The sequence below is a fragment of the Homo sapiens genome, chromosome 20 (genome assembly GCF_000001405.40).
Source record: "Homo sapiens chromosome 20, GRCh38.p14 Primary Assembly".
Lineage (NCBI taxonomy): Eukaryota > Metazoa > Chordata > Mammalia > Primates > Hominidae > Homo > Homo sapiens.
Window position 1 is genome coordinate 25197006 of NC_000020.11, and position 14860 is coordinate 25211865.

The 14860-nt window shown below is 45.2% G+C and overlaps 1 protein-coding gene across 36 annotated transcripts in view, besides 1 other annotated feature; it reads left to right on the plus strand.

Moving 5' to 3' along the window:
* ENTPD6 (ectonucleoside triphosphate diphosphohydrolase 6) overlaps window positions 1–14860 on the plus strand; it is a 32364-nt gene that overhangs the window by 1294 nt on the left and 16210 nt on the right. For 12 of the 36 annotated variants that reach the window (XM_047440595.1, XM_047440594.1, XM_047440597.1 and 9 more), the window contains 2 exons: window positions 10071–10392; window positions 12844–12920. In XM_047440595.1, the coding sequence (XP_047296551.1) occupies window positions 10071–10392; window positions 12844–12920 (399 nt within the window). Of the gene's footprint in view, window positions 1–99; window positions 222–9516; window positions 9586–10070; window positions 10393–12843; window positions 12921–12997; window positions 13189–14860 lie in introns of those variants that run through there. The other 24 variants (NM_001322397.2, NM_001247.5, NM_001322388.2 and 21 more) reach the window with 8 other exon arrangements.
* Window positions 383–432: an enhancer, noted in NCBI's record as "active region_17663". NCBI's record gives its function as "activates an Ori minimal core promoter by ATAC-STARR-seq in GM12878 lymphoblastoid cells {active_cell/tissue: GM12878}" and the evidence as "EXISTENCE:reporter gene assay evidence [ECO:0000049][PMID:35858748]".

The following is a 14860-nucleotide window of genomic DNA, read 5'->3' on the forward strand; positions in this document are numbered from 1 at the left end:
GCGGTTCACGCACCGGTTTTTGCCAAGGAGAGAAAAACCTACTGAAACCCACCAGGAGGATGAGTGGAAGTTTCTAATGTGCTTCATTTTTTGATACAGCGTGCATGGCAGGCATTTGCATTCATGACCCTTCCGTGTACTTGAACTGAAAACCTGAAGAAACTGGCCAACAGATTAGGCAGCCATCAATCCACATCAGATGGCCCCTGTATTTCCAAGAGGTGACCTGCCATCCCCATCTAGAAAGCCAACCAGGGGACAGGGTAGCTCCTACCACCAACAACACTGCTCTACCCTCAGATTCTCTTCTCTGACTCCTGCCTCCACCTGCTGGAGGGTGGCCTCAGCAGGAGCCACACCTCTCTGTTTGCCTGTGTGCACCCTACTTCCTACCCCTGCCTTCCCTCAGTCCCCACCCGCTACCTTCCTTACAGCCTCATCCCACCCTGTCTCTCCTTTAAAGAACAGACTGAGATGGCATTGTTTTCCTCAAAGAGTCTGTCAGGGAGAACCTGATCAACACATTCACGCTGTGGTGTTAGTGGTTCCCACAGAAACCCCATTTCCTCTCCGGCAGGTGTCTCAGCCATGGGCAAACACCTTAACCTAGTGGAATGAAATTGCTGTTTAGATCTGGGACACAGGTACATGGAGATGACCTGTTCCTTGGGGAGAGGGGATGGTGAACATGATTATAAGAACTCTTCTTCCCACCCTTGTGCAAGAGCAAGGCTGTTCCTGGTTCTGTGCTCTCTCAGTACTGTGTTCTAGTTGGACTCTTGCTTTTGTCTTCCTGAACTTGGTGTGTAACTTCAGTAATTATGTCTATGTAAGGTATGTCTATGTATGTGAGTGTTTTTTGGATCTCTAAAGTCGTGATAAAGCACGTTCAATTTGGGGACTGAAGCCAGGGACTCTTGTGTGCTCCACCACACACTGACTGCAATCTCAGACAGTTCCGTTTACACACATTCCCAGGGCCTTGGTGCTGTCTTAGGGAAACCCAGGGCTGTGAGGCAGGCTTTGTGGGGTGCTGGACACAGGGCATGGCACATAAAGGGTTTTTTTAAATGGGTAGACAGTAAATAAGGAGCAACTTTGCCTCTAGATTTAATATACCACCTGTGAATCTGATCATGTAGAATATGGTTCTTAGACTAACATAGGACATGATAAGATTTGATTATGGGCCAGGTGCGGTGTCTCACACCTGTAATTTCAGCACTTTGGGAGGCCGAGGTGGGCAGATCATTTGAGGTCAGGAGTTCGAGACCAGCCTGGCCAACATGGTGAAATACCGTCTGTACTAAAAATACAAAAATTAGCTGGGCGTGGTGGTGCATGCCTGTAATCTCAGGTACTTGGGAGGCTGAGGCAGGAGAATTGCTTAACCTGGGAGGCAGAGGTTGCAGTAAGCTGAGATTGTGCTACTTCACTCCAGCCTAGGTGATAGGTGAGAGAGTGAGACTCTGTCTCAAAAAAAAAAAAGTCTTGATTACATAAAGAGGATTTTATTAAACGTATTCACAGTTGTAGGGTGTTACTATTGCTTTTTGTCCTCATTATTCATCCCTGGAGTGTTTCAGAACTTTCTCTAGAAATATTGTAATTTAATTAAACATTTGATGATTACTTAGAAACCTGAAACTTTGGGTTATAGTCTGCTAAGGAAGGGAGGGCTGTTGTGGTATGGGAGGTGCTACTTTGGAACGGACATTCCTAGTGCCACGTCTCTTCTCCCAGTCTCAGCTGACGTTGCCTTAATGTGCATCATTCCCAGCCCCAAGCCTGTCACCTCTCATAGGGTCCGTCCTATTTCTGGACCAGCCCCAAACCTGTCACCTCTCATAGGGCCTGTCCTGTTTCCCACTGATGTCCCGCTGGCATATCAAACTCAGCATGTCAAAAACCTGATCACTGCTGCCTCCTGCCAAATGGCCCCTTCCCAGATGACCTGTTTCAGTTCATGGCCATCACCCAGTCCTGTGGCATCTATGATGCCTGCATCTTCCTCCTACTGCCCGTTTTCCCCCTCAGTACACTGCTGAGCCATCAGCAGACCCCCTTCAACAGGTGCTGGCTGAGCAGCTGCTGGGATCTGGTTTTGTGTTGGGTGCTGGAGGTTCTGGGATGGGGGCTGGTCCCTACTCCTGGAGTAGGCGTCATCTAACCAGAGCCAGAGGGGCCTAGAAGAACTGCACATGTCATGTGCTGTGGAAATGGCAGAGCAGCCAGCAGCACAAGGGAGGAGCTCCGCCAGCACATTTCAGCAGGAAGAACCTTAGTCAGGCATGATCTGTCTCCTTCGTTGAGAGAGTAGGGCGTGAGTGTGATCAGAATTGTAAAACGTTTTGTATTTGACACAGTGGGTGGGCCCTGCCCTCTTTATCCCCATCCCTCACCCCACAGAGTGCCTTAAGTCCGATACCCACAGAACTTATTTCTGTTACCTGCCTGGCCTAGCCATTGAAGGATTTTAGAAGTTGCCATAAAATACACATAACACAAAAATTAGCAACATAATCCTTTTTAAATGTACAGTTCTGTGGCATTAAGTACATTCACAACCACCATCACCATCCGTCTCCAGAACTTTTTCATGTTCCCTGACTGAAACTCTTTACCCAATAAGTCCTCCTCACCCACTGCCCTCAGCACCTGCCCTTCTACTCTCTGTCTGTGTGATTTGACAGCTCTGTAACTCATGTAAGTGGAATCCTACAATATTTGTCTTTTTGTGACTGGCTTATTTCACTTAGTGAAATGCCTTTAAGGCTCATCCATGTTGTAGCACATGTCAGAATTTACTTCCTTTTTAAAACTGAATAATATTTCATTCAAAATTCAGTTCAGCTCTAAATTGAATTTTGTGTATCCATCTGTCGATGGATGTTTGGATTATTTCTCTCCTGTCTGTTGTGAATAATGCTTCAGTGAATGTGAGTGTGTAGATATCTCTTTAAGATCCTGATTTCAACTCTTTTAGAAGTGGGATTGCTGAACCATATGGTAGTTCCAGCTTTGATTTTCGGAGGAAGCTCCATGCTGTTTTCCAAGGCAGCTGCACCATCTGACTTTCCCACCAGCAGCGCACAAGGGTTCCAGTTTCTCCACATCCTCACTAATACTTGTTATTTTCTGTTTGTTTGATAGTGGCTGTCCTAATATATGATGTGATAGCTCATTGCAATTTTGCATTTTGCTAACGATTCATGATGTTGAGCCTCTTTTTGTATGCTTTTTATCTGTTATTTTTTAAACAGATTGCTATTTTTGTGGTTGACTTTTAAGAGTTCTTTATATATTCTAATTATTAACCCCTTTCAGAGCAGATGTACTATTTACCTGTTTTCTCCTGTTCTGTAGGTTGTGTTTTCATTTTGTTGATTGTTTCTTTTGCTGGGTAGAAGCCATTTAGTTAATGTAATTCCATTTGTTTATTTTTGCTTTTATTGCCTGTGCTTTTGGTGTCGTATCTAAGAAATCATTGCCAAATTCTTTATTATTTATCTTGGTGGATTTTGTGTTCAAGAATTTGTCCATTTCATCTAGGTTATCCAGTTTGTAGGCATACAGTTGTTCGTAGTACTCTCTTATAATCATTTTTATTCTGTAAAATAGGTAGTAATGTCCCCTCTTTCATTCCAGATTACAGCTATTTGAGTCTTCTTTCTTTATTCCTTAGTCAGTCTAGCTAAAGGTTTGACAGTTTTGTTGATTTTTGAAGAATCAAATTTTAGTTTCATTTATTTTCTCTATTTTTCTATTCTCTATCCTCCTGTAATCTTTATTATTTTCCTCCTCCTTTTTTACTTTTTTCCTCCTCCTTTTTTCCTCCTCCTTTTTCTAGCTTTATGTTTAGTTTGTTCTTTTACTAGTTACTTAAGGTGTACAGTTAGGTTGTTTGAGCCCTTTCTTCTTTTCTAAAGCAAGTGTTTACAGCTGTACATTTCCCTATTGGCACTGTTTTTGCTGCATCCCATAAGTTTTGGAAGGTTGTGTTTTTGTTTTCACTTATCTCAAGGTATTTTCTAATTTTCATTATGACTTCTTCTTTGACTCTTCAGTTGTTTAAGATTGGGCTGTGCTGAATTTCCACATAATTGTGAATTATCCAGTTTTCCTTCTGCTGTTGATTTCTGGTGTCACCCCATTGTGACTGGAAAAGATGCTTTGTATGGTTTGGATTGTTTAAAATGCATTAAGGCCTGTTTTGTAGCCCACCGTCTGGCGTTGCATGCAGGGCGCTCCGTTACACTCTTGCTCTGTAGTGTCGTTTGAGTCCTCTGTTTCTATATTGATCTTCTGTCTAATTTTTCTGTCCATTATTCAAAGTGGGACATTTCAGTCTCCTAGTATAATAATATTACTATTATTGATAGTTGTCTATTTCTCTTCAATTTTATCAGTGTCTGGTTCATATATTTAGGGGTTTTGATGTTTACTGTGTATATGTTTATAATTGTTTTATATTCCTGGTGAATTGACTATTTTATCATGATATAATGTACTTCTTTGTCTCTTGTGACAGTTTTTGACTTAAAGTCTCTTTTGTCTGATATTGGTACAGCAACCCCTGCTCTCCTTTGGTCACTCTTTGAATTGACTCTTTTCCATTCTTTTACTTTCAGCCCATATGTGTTCTTAGATCAAAAGTGAGCTTCTTGTAGATAGAATATACAGCTGACCTTTGAACAACATGGGTTAGGGATACCAACCCCTCACCTGCAGTTGAAAATCCAAGTGTAACTTCAGTCTAGAATGCAGTGGTGTAATCATGGCTTACTGCAGCCTTGAACTCCAAGGCTCAAGTGATCCTCCCACCTCAGCCTCCCCAAGGAGCTTGGGACTACAGGCGCACACCACCATGTCCAGCTAATTTTTTTATTTTTTGTAGAGACAGTGTCTCCCTATGCTGCCCAGGCTGGTCTCAAACTCCTGGGCTCAAGATATCCTCTCGCCTCCGCCTCCCAAACTAGTAGCCTACTGTTGAAGAAGCCTTACTGATAACATAAATAGTTGATTAACACATAGTTTGTATGTTATATTACTATAAGGTAAGCTAATGAACAGAAAATGTTATTATAATAAGAAATCATAAGAAAGAGAAAATGTATTTGCTATTTATTAAGTGGAAGTGGATTATCATAAAGGTCTTCATCTTCATTGTCTTCATGTTGAGTAAGCTAAGGAGGAGGTGAAAGAGGAAAGGTTGATCTTGCTGTCTCAGAGGTGGCAGGAGTGGAAGAAAATCTGGATATAAGTAGACCTGTGCAGTTCAAACCCATGTTGTTTGAGGGTCAGCTGTAGTCAGGTCTTGTTTTTTAATCTATTCTGTCAATCTGTGTCTCTTGATTAAGGAGTTAATCCATTTATATTTAAAGTAATTACTCATAGGGAAGGACTTGTTTTTGATGTTTTGTTATTTATATATATTTTATAGCTTTTTTTGTCCTTCATTACTACCTTATTTTGTATTTAGTTGATTATTTGTAGTTTCCGTTTTTGATTCCCTTCTCAGTTCCTTTTGTGTATATGCTACAGACATTTCCATTGTGGTTACAACCATAGGGATTACATACATAACAGCCTGAAGTTATAGCAATCTATTTTAAATTGATATCAACTTAATTTCAGTCAGACACAGTAACCTCTCCTTTACAATTCCATCTACCCCCACTTTGTTATTGATGTCACAGATTACATCTATATATATTGGGTATGTACCCATTAACATAAACCTGTAATTATTTTTATGCATATATCTTTTAAATCCTGAAGAAAATATTAAGTAGTGTTGCAGACCAATTGTACACTAATACTAGTTTCTATATTTGTCCCTCCATTTGCCTTTGCTGGAAATGTTTGTATTTTCTTACAGCTTTTAGCTGCTGTCTAGTGCCCTTTTGTTTTAACTTTCAGGACTCCCTTTAGTAGTCTGGTAGGGCAGATCTAGTGGCAATGAACACGCACATCTTTTATTAATCTGGAAGTGTCTTAATTTCTCCCTCATTTGTGAAGGACAGTTTTGCTGAATGTAGAATTCTCTGTTGACAGATTTTTTTGTTTGTTTGTTTTAGCAGTTTGGGGGTATCTTCCCACTGCCTCTGGCCTCTGAGGTTTCTGCTAAGACATTGGCTAACAGTGTTATTGAGGATTCTTTGTACATCATGAGCCATTCTTTTGCTGCTTTCAATATTCTGCCTTTGTCTTTACACAGTTTGATTATATTGTGTCTTCATGTTGGTCTCTTTGGGTTTATCTTACGTGGGGTTTACTGAGCTTCTTGGATGTTTATATTCATGTCTTTAGTCAAATTTGGGAGGTTTTTAGCTATTCTTTCTTCACATAATTTCTCTGCCCCATTCTCTCTTCTCTTTCTTAGATTTCCATAATGTGCATGGTGCACGTGAGGGAGGCCCCTAAGTCCCTGAGGCTCTGCTCACTTTCCTCATTCTTTTTGTTCCTCTGACTTGATATTTTCAAATGTGCTATGTTGAAGTTTGCTGATTCTTCTACCGACTCAAATCCCTCTGGTCAGAGTTTTCAGTTCAGTTTTGTATTTCTCAGCTCCACAATTTCTGTTTGATTCCTTTTTATAATTTCTCATTTTGTTGTCATATGTTATTTTCTTGATTTCTTTTCATTCTTTATCTGTTTTCCTTCAGCTCTTTTAGCATATTTAAGACAGTCATTTTTAGTCTTGGTCAAGTACATCCAGTGCCTGCATTTCTTCAGGGATGGGTTCTGCCACTTCATTTTCTTCCTCTGAATGAGCTGTGTTTTCCTGTTTCTTTGTATGCCGTGTGATTTTTTTGCTGAACATTGGGCATTTGAAAAACAGCTCCTTGTCCCAGTCTTTGAAGACTAACTCTGTATTGGGAATGGCCCCCACCAAATAGCAGGATCTGCCTAAGTGTGGGGATCAGCTCTGGATGAAGGCCAAAGTTTCCTCTGGTTTCTTCTGAGGATGCATCTTCCCTGGGCCTGTGTATGTGTTTTTTTCAATTTCCCCATATTCGTGGCTGTTTCAAAATCTCTTACTTTCATTATGAATACTTTCAAGCTTCCCTTTGGAATATACCAAGAAATGCATTTGGAGTAACCTTTGTTTTTCTATCATTGTAAATTTAGATTCTGGAATTGGGGTTTGGTGGTGTGATGTGTTGCTCACATGTGGCCAGAACTCCTGCTCCTAAAAGGACTTTGAGATCAAGGAACACATATTTAATCTCCCCTTTATGCCTTGGTTTTAGTTCCTCTTTCCAAGTTGAATAACCAATTTTTCATTGCTGTTTGGTTTAAGTTGGTGCTTTGAAGCTTAATCTCAGTACCCTTAACTCTGAATTATCGAATTTTGATAAAAATGTGTGCCCTTATTTTTTGGTAAGAGAAAGCAGGTCTTAATGTCTGCCGGAACACAATTTATTTGCCTTGTTGGCTCCATTAAACTTTTACAAAGCTTTATATATATATATATATATCTTACTTTCTCAAAGTCTCCCCCAGTCCCTCCTTGGGCCTCAGATGTTCTACTGTATTTCTCACCTGTCATTCTTGCCCCAGGTATGCGTGGGGCTATAGTCATCCTACAGCTTTGCCTAGCAGTGCCCATAACCATTTCCCTGACTTCCTATCTGGGCTCTGAGCTCAGAGTCAGGTGAAACAGAGATCTGTTCCTCAGGCAGCCCAAGACAGATTAGGATGTTGCAGAAAGGTCCGCTCTGCTCCCTCCAGTTCAAGGGAAGGAATTGGGAACCGGGCTGCCGCATTCATCAGGTGGTGCCATGCTGGGGAGGCCTGGGGCAGGGGTGAGTGAAACACCTCAGAGTTCCTGACATCCTGAATGTGGCTGCTTCTGGGCTGGGCATTCTCTTGGTTGCTGTAGATCGTTGCCTGTTTTGCAGAGCTCCTATGCAATATTTTAACCAGTCTCTAGTTGTTTTTAGTGTTTCTCTGTGGGGGAACAAGGGCCTTTGAGCTTCCTCTTTTGCCGTCTTGCTGTGTCCTCTCCCTGTTTATGGATTTTCTACAGGACTCTGTTGTGTGTCTGGTGACGTTATAGAAGGTGCGGGGGTAGAGGAGCAGCCTCTTCCATTCTAGAGAAGGGCTTGGATGCCATGCTGGGCAGCAGCAGCACAAGACAAGCTGAGTCCCTGCCCTGGGGGCTCATGGCCTAGTGGGGAGACACAGACCTACAGGAATCAGGTCTATGAATACTGGTTTCATCACTGCTGGTGGTGGGTAAAGGGAGCTCAGAGAGTGCGTGATGGGGCATGTGCAGGTTGGGGGCATCCGGGAAGGGGGTGGCAGTGACATTTCAGTGGAGGTTTCAGAATGAAGACACGGTGCCAGTGTGGTGGGACAAGTATTCTGGGAATGCGTATCAGTCTGTGCCAGGGGCCTGAGGCAGGGAGAGGCTGAGTTCTAGGGGCAGAAGAAGGCACTGTTCTCAGAGCACTGTGGGCAAGGACGAAAGAGGAGTGCGATGAAGCCACAGGGGCCAGCAGGGACAGGGGCCGGCAGGGACAGGCCCAGGCAGAGGCTGCAACATGATCCTGAGAGCTGTGGGAAGCCCCCGAGTGTGGTGGGACCCAGGCCCAGAATAGGGCTGGGGAGGGGCTGCACGTTGGCACCTGCCAGGAGAGGCTTTTTGCAGCCCTGCCCGTGGCAGATGCTCAGGGAAGGGTGGTTTTTCCTGTCTCCTGCTCCAGTGTGGGTGGCCAGGCCACTGGTGAGGCCTCTCCCCTCGGCACGGGGCACTGTGGCAGTGCTTGTCTTACCTCTCTGGGCCTGAGGATATCCAGCTGTGGCCACAGGCGGGACCTCAGGAAGGAGGGGCCAGGAATGGCCTGCTCCCCGTGCTTTGCCCCGCGGGCCCTGTCCTTCCGTTCTGCTGTGCCCAAACAGCCTCAGGTAGCGCAGGTCGCTGCGGGCTTGCTCCTTTGACTGCTACTGCCCCCTCCTCAGCAGTGCAGCCATGCTGTCCTTGGTTCCACAGAGATGTCACCTCCTGCTGCCCTTCTGTAAAGCCCGCATGTGGCACGTGCTTTCCCTGCAGCCTGTTCTGAGCACATTGAATCCCCACAGTCACGAGGGGCTCTCCAATGAGCAGCCCCACCTTGCAGATGAAACTGGCCCCCTTGAGGGGCATGTTGCCCACTGTCACACGTAGCTGCGGGCAGAGCCGGTGCCACTTCCAGCCCGGCATCCTCCTGATCCCTGCTCCCCTAGGAGTGGCCACTCACCAGGACCGACTGAGAGAGTGAGGGAGGGACAGGCTGATGGACGTTCCCCAAGGTTGGGGGCCCTAGAGTCGGCCCACACTTCTTGTCCTTTGAAGCCTCAGGTTCCCACATGCTGCCTCGCACTGGAGCAGCCAATGAAACTTGAACAAATGCTTTCATTTTGGGTATATCGAACCAAAAACAATGGCACCCAGTGAATTTATTTTGCTACTCTAGTAGAATTTTTGTAGGCTTTGGAAGTACACAGACATTATTTTCTCCTTGGCAGGAATGGGCTATGTGAATGAAAAAAGGTATCCGTTATGAAACTTCCAGAAAAACGAGCTACATTTTTCAGGTTTGTCTGGGGCTCTCAGTAGTTGCCCAAGGGACGGAGTTTAAACCTTTCGAAAAGTAAATTGCCTGAATAGAAGTATAACTGAGGATTGAAAGACTGAATCAGATACGCGCTTCTGTTCCCATGAACAGTTTGGGAACACCATTTACATGTGGCTTCTTTTACATAAATCGCCATGTGTCCCAAGCTGGTGGGACCCTCCCTTAGAGGAGCCAGCCACTGTGGTCTGTGCACCAGGTCAGCAGCTGCAATGTGTGCGACCTTGAGCAGGCTGTCCTGCCTTTATAAACCTCAGTTCCTCTTCTGTAGGATGGGGATCACACCTTCTGGAATAATTATGAGGCTCAAATGAAGCTTCTGATTCCTGGGGGGAACACGGAGCAGTTTCAGGTTGAACATTTTGTCCCTGGGCCTGGGGACGTCTGACTCTCCTTGGATCCTAGCACCCTAACGTGCTTTTCCTGCCTCTCCCCCCTTCCCACCAGCAGCCGCAGCACGGTCCTTGGCAAACAAGGATGAGAAAAATATCCAACCACGGGAGCCTGCGGGTGGCGAAGGTGGCATACCCCCTGGGGCTGTGTGTGGGCGTGTTCATCTATGTTGCCTACATCAAGTGGCACCGGGCCACCGCCACCCAGGCCTTCTTCAGCATCACCAGGGCAGCCCCGGGGGCCCGGTGGGGTCAGCAGGCCCACAGCCCCCTGGGGACAGCTGCAGACGGGCACGAGGTCTTCTACGGGATCATGTTTGATGCAGGAAGCACTGGCACCCGAGTACACGTCTTCCAGTTCACCCGGCCCCCCAGAGGTACCCGCCTCTCATGGCAGGGCTCTCGGGATCTCCTCCCCTGTGCTACAGTGTTGGCCGGGTCCCCTGCCACAGACTCACCTGGGAGCTTGTCTAAATGCAGTTTCCCAGAGATGCTGACGCTGGTATGGGCTGGGGTCCAAGCATCTGAATTTCCCGGGAGTCCCAGATCACTCTTACACTAGTGAGTGGTGACCATGCTGAAGGGCAGCTGAGACCTTGAGGTGTTTGGTGGCCTGTCCCCTCCCCACATTCACCAGCAGGTCAGGTGGCTAGGACCATGATTTAGGCCAGTGGTTGTGTTTGGGGCTTTGTGGGGAGTTCAGGCAGGAAGTATCCCCAGATTCAGTCCCATGGGAGCCAGAAAATCAGGAAAGTCAGATAAATAATAAAGGCTCCTGGGCTTGACCGGGAGCTGCCAGGTGGGCCAAGATGGCCAGGGGCAACAGCCGAGAGGGGTCTCAGCTGGATAAGGGAGCTGGAGCCTGGGCTTCGTTGGCTATGCTTCTAGGGTGGGCCTCAGGCCGGGGTGGGCGGCTTCTCTTGAGGGGTCCCCCTCGCCACCCGGTTCCTCTGCTCTCCAACCACCCTCTTCCCTTGGTTCCCTGATGCCCCTCTCGTGCCCGTGACCCTGAGGTTCGCCCTCCATGTCTCTCTAGCTGTAGCCAGTGAGAGTTTGCAGCCCCTGTCAGGCAGGTCCCCTGGGTGTCCCATGCTCTTCTTGGCTGACCTGGAACCTGTGGGGTAGACACCATCCTGGCATTGCACGGTTCTGCTGGTGCTGGACATTTCTAGCTGCTGTCTCCAAAGCTGAGTGGTGTATTTTATTTACTTTTGACTCCATCTGCGTTATTTTTTAACTTATTACAGTAGTGAAATATTTAGATGCCATATCTGCTTATCTCTAAAAGTGGCTTCGAAGCCTGTAATCCCAGCTATGTGGGAGGCTAAGGCAGGAGAATCGCTTGAACCTGGTAGGCGGAGTTTGCAGTGAGCCAAGATCACACCATTGCACTGCAGCCTGGGCAACAAGAGTGAAACTTGATCTCAAAAAATTTTTTTTTAAGTGGAACTTTTTAAAAATTAATAATTAAAAAGTAAAGCTTCTTCAAAGCTAAGTGTGCAACAGACATCAGCCTGCGATGCTTTTGGAGCCATGTCCCAGGGTTTTCTCTTTGGAGAGAAAAGACTTTGCAAAAAGTTTTGTCCCTGATTTTTTCTGGTCCAGTCTTCGCGTCTGAATTTAGTATGCCTCCTTATTGTAAGCACAAGTTCATACCACTCCTAATAATTTAAAACACTCCATTTTTTAAAATGAAGAAAATACCCTAATCTTGAGAACCCTTTAATAAATTCATTTCAGAATCAAGGAAATGGTGTTCCTATTTTCAGTTTGGAGTCACTTATCCTATTCCGCTGTTTATTGAATTGGCAAGAATTAACTATGTTAAAATTTAACACTGATGCAGTTGTTTTGTGTGTAAATTATCTTCAGTAAAGTTGGATTTTTATTTTTTATTTTATTTTTATTTTTTTTGAGACGGAGTCTCGCTCTGCTGCCCAGGCTGGAGTACAGTGGTGCGATCTTGGCTCACTGCAACCTCCGCCTCCTGGGTTCAAGCGATTCTCCTGCCTCAGCCTCCTGAGTAGCTGGGACTACAGATGCCCATCACCACACCTGGCTACTTTTTTTTTCTTTTTTATTTATTTTTATTTAATTTTTTTTTTTTGAGATGGAGTCTCGCTCTGTCGCCCAGGCTGGAGTGCAGTGGTGCAATCTCCGCTCACTGCAAGCTCCGCCCCCCGGGTTCATGCCATTCTCCTGCCTCAGCCTCCCGAGTAGCTGGGACTACAGGCGCCCGCCACCACGCCCAGCTAGTTTTTTTGTATTTTTAGTAGAGATGGGGTTTCACCATATTCGCCAGGATGGTCTCGAACTCCTGACCTCGTGATCTGCTCACCTTGGCCTCCCAAAGTGCTGGGATTACAGGCGTGAGCCACCGTGCCTGGCCGTAAAGTTGGATTCTTAAAAGGTAAAATGCAGGGCACATAGCTTGCACCTGTAGTCCCAGCTACTCAGGAGGCTGAGATGGGAGGATTGCTTGAGCCCAAAAGTTCAAGACCAGCCTGGGCAACATAGCAAGAGCCCTTCTCTTTAAAAAAAAATAATTATAATAAATATAATCTTTAAAAAATAATTATAATAAATAATAATTTTAAAAAAATAATTAATTAAGAAGTAATGTTCTGGCCAAGACATTAGGTATTATACTCATCTTGTTCTGATGAACAAAGAGTCAGAATTTAGACAAGGAATAGCTGAAGGGCCCCTGCCACTTGGGGATTGGTCTGTGTTAGTGTCTGTCTTTAAAAAGTGTGGCTAGTCATGATTGTATGTGTTCTCCTGTGTGTATTCATAGTTGTACCCTTTTCAACATGTTTTCCCCTTAGAAACTCCCACGTTAACCCACGAAACCTTCAAAGCACTGAAGCCAGGTCTTTCTGCCTATGCTGATGATGTTGAAAAGGTAAGGATCCTCTCCCGTGTCTCCCTGTTCAACTGCAGAATGTGTTCAAGCCAGTTCTTTTCCTTTGAATGTGGTAGGCTGTCTTCACAAAGGAAGGGGGCTTTGACAGTGCTGCCTGGGCATTTCATGCCATTTGGGATGGTCAGAAGAGAGAAGGTGTGCAGCGCGCGAGCCCAGAGGAGAACGCGCCCCCACCCGGCCCCATCCTCTGACTCCACCGTGCCAGCGCTCACTTCTCCAACGTGGGGGTCCCGAGGTCTTGGTACAGGTCAGAAGCACAAATCCTGCAAACTTACAAAAATCATTATTTGATAGTTTGCTTATTCAAATTTTTACGCTAATTTAGTCTTGTGAATTTTGCATAATACATTTTTAATTTTTTGTTGTGGTTTCTGATCGAAGATAGCAAACATTGACTGAAAAAAAAAAATTAGTGTTGGCCAGGCATGGTGGCTCACACTTGCAATCCCAGCACTTTGGGAGGCTGGGGCAAGAGGATCTCTTGAGCCCAGGAGTTGAAGACCAGCCTGGGCAACAGAGTGAGAACCCTATTTCTACAAAATTTAAAAATTAGCTAGGCATGGTGGTACACACCTGTCATCCCAGCTACTTGGGAGACTGAGGTGGGAGGATCACTTGGGCCTGGGAGGTCAAGGCTACAGTGAGCCATGATTGTGCCACAGGTGACAGAGTGAGACCTTATATTTAAAGAAAAAAGTTAAAAACGTATTACAGGCCAGGCACAGTGGCTCACGCCTGTAATCCCAGCACTTTGGGAGGCTGACGCGGGTGGATCACCTGAGGTCAGGAGTTCGAGACCAAGCTGGTCAACATGGTGAAACCTTGTCTCTACTAAAAATACAAAAATTAGCCAGGCATGGTGGCGCACGCCTGAAATTCCAGCTACTCAGGAGGCTGAGGCAGGAGAATCACTTGAACATGGGAAGCAGAGGTTGCAGTAAGCTGAGATTGCGCCACTGTACTCCAGCCTGGGGGACAGAGTGAGACTCTGACCCCATCCAAAAGAAATGTATTATGCAAAATCCACAAAACCAAATAAATCGAAATTTAATTAAAATTGTCAAATAATGATTTATGTAAGTTTGTAGCATTGCTACTTCTATCTAAAGTCCTTAAAGCTTACAGCTGCACTAATACAGGATGCCTGGTTTTCTACCAAGGCACTCACAAAATGGGCTATGGAGAGAGTTGTAACTTCCATTTGGTTCAAGCATTTCTTAAGTCATGAGCTAGTACATTGCTCTTGTCCACAAACGTGTCATGGTCTCAGACAATGTAGTTCAAGCCTTGCTTTCCTGTAGCTTAGTTAAAAAAGAAATTGAAATTAGTGATTCTAGAGTGACCTTACAGTTAAACCTGATTAAATTAGATAAATTTAGAATAAGCTCCTAGGATTTTTAAGGCCTTACTTGTTTGAGTAGGTGACACACATTCAAGTGGGACAAATGTCCACGCTCCCCAGGGTAGTAGCACAGATGTCCCTCCTACTCCAGGCTGCCTCGGAGGCCCACGTCCTGGCTCTCTTAGCATCCTTTGAGGCTGGTTGATGTGTATGTAAACAGAGTCATCTGTATTCTTCTCCCCATTTTTACTTCACACCCACGGTGGTGTCCACACCGAGGCCTTTGGCTTTGCTGCTGAGCAGGATAATTAGAGAGCGTTTATGTCGGCATGTGCAGAGCCTCCTTAGTTTTTTTGGCTGAATGTTATTGCATGGATGCTGCACACTTACCTCATGGAACCAGTCCTCTTCTGAAGGACATTTAGATAATGTCCAATCTTTCTCTCTTGACAGTAGAAAAAGGCTGCACCTGACACATACTTCATTACCCACACATGCAAGGGGCATCGCTCAGATGAAGTCTCTATTTTTTTTCCCCGAGATGAGGTCTCTCTCTATCACCCAGGCTGGAGTGCAG